This window comes from Homo sapiens, chromosome 9 (assembly GCF_000001405.40).
Source record: "Homo sapiens chromosome 9, GRCh38.p14 Primary Assembly".
In the NCBI taxonomy this organism is placed as follows: domain Eukaryota; kingdom Metazoa; phylum Chordata; class Mammalia; order Primates; family Hominidae; genus Homo; species Homo sapiens.
The window spans coordinates 107,671,147-107,677,146 of NC_000009.12; positions in this window are offsets into that span (position 1 = coordinate 107,671,147).

The following is a 6,000-nucleotide window of genomic DNA, read 5'->3' on the forward strand; positions in this document are numbered from 1 at the left end:
GCAGTGGTGCGATCTCGGCTCACTGCAATCTCCACCTCCTGGGTTCAAGTGATTCTCCTTCCTCAGCCTCCCAAGTAGCTGGGATTACAGGTGTCCGCCACCACACCCGGCTAATTTTTTTATTTTTAGTAAAGATGGGCTTTTGCCATGTTGGCCAGGCTGGTCTCGAACTCCTGACCTCAGGTGATCCACCCGCCTCGGCCTCCCAAAATGCTAGGATTATAGGCATGAGCCATTGTGCCTGGCAGCCCCCCTAATTTTTGTATTTTTAGTAGAGGCGGGGTTTCTCCATGTTGGCCAGGCTGGTCTCGAACTCCTGGACTCAAGTGATCTGCCTGCCTCGGCCTTCCAAAGTGCTGGGATTAAGGAATGAGCCACCACGCCCAGCCGATTCTAAAATATTTTTGATCTGGGATTGGTTGAATCCATGGATGCAGAGCAGAACCCCCAGATACAGAGGGCTGACTGTACTCAAATAGGATTATAATATACATACCCTTTTGTATGCTGCCTCACTCAGTCAACATCAAGAACACCTTTCTGCATCAGTACCTTCTTCCACAACATCATTTTGCATGGTTGAGTAGTATTCTGTTACATGGATGTATCATAACATTTTAAACCCACTTCCAATTTTGCTGACTACCGATTTTGGTTAGTCTCAAGCATTTATTTATTGAGTCCTTTCCATGTGCTGAATGCTTTGCAAATCCAATGACTTGATGGGAGGCAGTGCCTGGTGATGGAGAGGCTTCCATTCAAATTCCATCACTGTTCTTTACTAGCTCTTTGACTAAGTTACTGAACTTCTCTGGGTCTCAGCTACCTCCTGTGGAGAATATGGGTAATGGTACTCTCCTTAAAGGACAATGGTAAAAATGAAGTGAGAAAAGATACAGAGTGTGGCCAGCAAATGGTAGCTGTCACTGCTGCAGTGGAGGGTGTCCTGTCCCACTTGAGGGAAAGTGGTCAGAGACAGTGTCTGTGTGGGACTCAGAACCCAGGGTTAGCCCTGAAGGGACACAGTTGGGCTGAACAGACAAAGTGGGGAGACTTGCAAACACCTGCTTTGGAATCCATAATCCATTGCCCTGGGCCTCTGCTTTCGTTATCCAATATGGAGCCAGGAGTCTGGGGAAGGACAAATGGTAGAGACTGCAGTGGAGAAGTGCTATTGACAAATTTGTTGGCATCCGGGCACTGAAGTGGGAATAGGAACTGTGGACCTTGCCGGCTGGGTTTGCTTAAGGTTATGGTGCTCCAGGTTGACTGTGGAGGTGACTCTAGGCCTTTCAGCTTCCTCCAGCTAAGCATTAGATAGGAGTTAAGGGCTTAGGTTGGAAAGTCTCAGACAGATCTAAGATCCAGTCCCTGCTCTGTCATTTCTCTGATATTCAATCTCCTTATATATAAAATTGAGACAATAATACTTCCTCGGCTTGTTGTGGTGGCTCACACTTGTAATCCCAGCACTTCGGAAAGTGGAGGTGGGTGGATCACCTGAGGTCAGGAGTTCAAGACCAGCCTGACCAACATGGTGAAACCCCATCTCTACTAAAGATACAAAAAATTAGCTGGGTGTGGTGGCGCATGCCTGTAATCCCAGATACGTGGGAGGCTGAGGCAGGAGAATTGCTTGAACCTGGGAGGCGGAGGTTGCAGTGAGCTGAGATGGCGCTACTGCACTCCAGCCTGGACGACAGAGCCAGACACCATCTCAAAAAAAAAAAAAAAAAAAAAAAAAACCAGCCTCATAGGGAGGCTATGAAGATAATGTGAGCTAATGTATGTGAAGCTGACACCAGCTCAGGGCTAACCTGAAAACATACAATAGGTGGTGACTGCAGGTTTTCTTATCTACTTGTCCTACTTTTCCCACCTGCTCAAAGAAGCTGTACCTGCCGGGCATGGTGGCTTATGCCTATAATCCCAGCACTTTGGGAGGCTGAGGCGGGCAGATCACCTGAGGTCAGGAGTTCAAGACCAGCCTGCCAACATGGAGAAACCCTGTCTCTACTAAAAAATACAAAATTAGCCGGGCGTGGTGATGCATGCCTGTAATCCCAGCTACTTGGGAGGCTGAGGCAGGAGAATCACTTGAACCCAGGAGGCGGAGGTTGCGGTGAGCTGAGATCATGCCATTGCACTCCAGCCTGGGCAAAAAGAGCGAAATTCTCTCAAAAAACAAACAAACAAACAAACAAACAAAAAACAAAAAGCTGTACCTTCCAAAAAGCCTCTCCTTGGTTCATGCAGATTTTGCCAATGGCCTGGTGTTTAGAGAGGAGGCAACGGCAGGAAATCAGGGATGAAGGGAAAAGGGAGGACGAAGTCTGAGCTTGAATCCTTCAAACAAACCTTGAGATTCAAGGTTCTGTTCCAGGCTGGATAGAGACTACTGGGAGATGGCTATGATCTGTGACCACACAGCTGGTGTGAGACTCGGGAGAGATGCTCTGAAGAAAAAAATAGCCCAGCAGCCTTGGGATTTTACACAATTTTTGCCTGGAGAAAGGATGCAAACCCAGACAACTTTTTGAGGTTTTTCTCCAGGATCTGCAGATGGCTTTAACACCAAGGCAGTGGTTCTCAAAGTGTATTCCACAATGAGATGAGCACAAACACTGAGAGCAAATGAGTGCATGGGAAATTTTGTAACTATTTGACAGTCATGTTATGTGTGTTCAATCTAATATAAAAAGGCTGAGTCTGTGTGTATTTTGTATGTCCTTTAAATTTTTACATTTCTAGTAATTCATTATGTTTTACAAATAATGTTTACAAACTAATCTGTGCTAGATTAGTTAATTAAAGCAAAACAAAACAAAACTTACCCTCCCCAAAGATGCATGGAGAAGTGCTGCTTCGGGCCACTCTATAAATGTCACACATTGCTCTCCCTGGAGTTCCCAGCATTTTCACTTTCAGGGGCAAAAGTGAATGATGTATCAGAAAGAGCCCTTGGTTCTTGGCCTCCCCACGCCAGTCTAGCTGTGTGGTCTTGGAAAACCTCCCCTATGATCACTTTCATTATTTGTAAAATGAGGGTAATAAAACCCACCACATGGGATATAGTGAGATTCAATCTAGGGAAAGAGCATAATTGGATCTCTGGCCTATGATAGGTACTAAAGAATATTTGTTCCTTTTTTCTTTTCCCTTTGCAGTTTATTTGCATGTAGAAAAACTTAAGTGTTCTGCTTTCTTGGTCTCTTAAAAAGTATTTCCACCCATCCTAGTCTTTGCTTGTCCTAGGCTAATGGTGGTTCTTGCAATTTCCATCATAATGGTTCCAGTATTTTACATACATTTGCCTTTCCTTACAATGAGCCTGCTAGGCAGGAATAGTTTTTTTATTTTGAAAAAGAGAAAAGTGAAGTCAGAGAGTTTGAATGGCTTGCCCAAACTCATAGGGCTGTGACCAACAGTTGAAATCCAGGCCTGTCCAACTACTCAGCAACTTCAGATGGGTGTCCCTTCGTGGCCTTGACTTTCACAGTCACTGGCCCTCCCTTTCTCTTACCATTTTCTCTTTCATGCATAGGTAGTTGTTCTGAGGGCAATGGTCAGATGTTCAGTAAGCCCAGGAGGATCAGGGACACTTGTGATCAGAGCCAACGGTGTGTGGGGATCGGCAGCCTTTGCATTTCAGCAGTTACTGCAGCAAAGAAACAGAGAGGAAATCAAAGTGCATAGGAATGCCAGGGCCTCCCTGCTGCTCCCGCCCCATCTGCTCAGGTAGGGTCACTGAGGATGTTTCAGGATAGGTCTTCTTTCTTGACTCTGGAAATGAAACTCCTGTCATGTTTAGCTGTGGACACATCTGCCATGCAGCTGGTCTTGTTGCACAATGTATGCTTCTCACCAGCTCCCTCTGGTCTTGCCACCAGCAGGGGACACGATCCTTTTTCTTGCTCAAGGCTGAGCTGCAGTGATGAAAATAGACTTCCCCCAACCTACCCCAACCCGGTGAAGAGAAGTGGTTCTACTGTGCCTCTGTGAAGGATCTGCTGGATGGGGGTGATGGAGGGAGCCCCTGCTAGAAGGTCAGAGAGAACTGGGTTTCAGTTCCAGCTCTATCTGATCTTCTTGCCAAGCTTCTGCTTTCTCACTGGTAAATGGAGACAAGAATATGACTTATCTCATGGTGGGAATTAAGTAGGTAAGGTTTATTGTAGGGCCTGGTCATAATAGCAGCAAACCCTTCTAGGATGCAGACACATTGTCAGGCACTGTTCTAGGATGTTACCAGAAAGGGGTCCCAATCCAGACCCCAAGAGAGGGTTCTTGGACCTTGTGCAAGAGAGAATTTGGGGCAAGTCCATAAAGTGAAAGCAAGTTTATCAGGAAAGTAAAGGAATAAAAGAATAGTTATTCTATAGGCAGGGCAGCGGTGTGGGCTGTTTGACTGAGTATACTTATGGTCATTTCTTGATTCTATGCTAAACAAAAGGTGGATTATTCATGAGTTTTCTTGGAAAGGGGTGGGCAATTCCCGGAACTGAGGGTTCCTCCCCTTTTTAGACCACAGAGTGTAACTTCCTGATGTTGCCTTGGCATTTATAAACTGTCATGGTGCTGGTGGGAGTGTCTTTCAGCATGCTAATGTATTATAATTAGCATATAATGAGCCGTGAGGATGAGCAGAGGTCACTTTCATGGCCATCTTGGTTTTGGTGGGTTTTGGCCAGCTTCTCTACTGTATCCTGTTTTATCAGCAAGGTCTTTGTGACCTATATCTTGTGCTGACCTCCTATCTCATCCTGTGACTAAGAATGCAGCCCAGTAGTTCTTAGCTTTATTTTACCCAGCCCCTATTCAAGATGGAGTCACTCTGGTTCAAACGCCTCTGAGATAAGGGCCTTGTTTATTAATTTATTTCATCCTCACCACAAACTTTATGGGCAGGTGTTATTATTATCTTCACTTTGAAGAAGAGGAAACTGAAATAGAGGAGGATGATGTAATTTACAGTGAGTAAGTGACGAACCAAGGTTCAGTCTGGGAAGCCCGCGTCTTTAGCTATGATCCCATACTGTATCTCACTACGGTGTGTGGTAAGCCAGTGCGTGTGAAGTCCTTTCTATTCCCTTAAGCAAGTCACGTTTTCCTGCCAGAACAGGATCTGTCCTATGAGAGTTGACACATGAAAGCCAAATACGAAAAATCAGGGTGGAGATTCACAGTCACCTTAAAAAGATTCTCAGGCCAGGCATGGTGGCTGACACCTGTAATCCCAGCACTTTGGGAGGCCAAGGCAGGTGGATCACAAAGTCAGGAGTTCGAGACTAGCCTGGCCAACATGGTGAAACCCTGTCTCAACAAAAAATACAAAAATTAGCCAGGTGTGGTGGCATGTGCCTGTAGTCCCAGCTACTTGGGAGAATCTCTTGAACCCAGGAAGCAGAGGTTGTAGTGAGCCAAAATTGTGCCACGACACTCCAGCCTGAGCGACAGAGAGAGACTCAGTCTCAAAAAAAAAAAAAAAAAAAAAAGAAGAAGAAGAAAAGATTCTCCCAGAACAGCAGGACTAGTCAATAATGGGACTGAGGTATTTATGTACTAGAAGAAGGAGTGGAACATTGAAAGGGGTTTCACCATCCATGAAAGGCAGGATATGAGGTGAAGCCAGAGTCTTGACCAATAATAGACCTTGAGAATGATCATTCCAAGGACACAACTACCCCTATTGAGTCCATCTGCCATAGGAAAGAGGATGTTTGATGGGGATGACTTGAGTTGCTGGTTTACCTGACAGCTGGCTCTGTCTCTGTGTAAATAAATGCACATCCATCTCTTTGAGCTTGGTTGATATGAATCGTCTTTGAGAGACTAATCTATTCTTCTTGTTCTAATCAAATCAGGTGGGTTTTTTTTCTTTCTTTTTTCTTTTTTCTTTTTTTTTTTTTTGATGGAGTTTCACTTTTGTTGCCCAAGCTGGAGTGCAATGGTATGATCTTGGCTCACTGCAACCTCCGTCTCCCAGGTTCAAGCAATTCT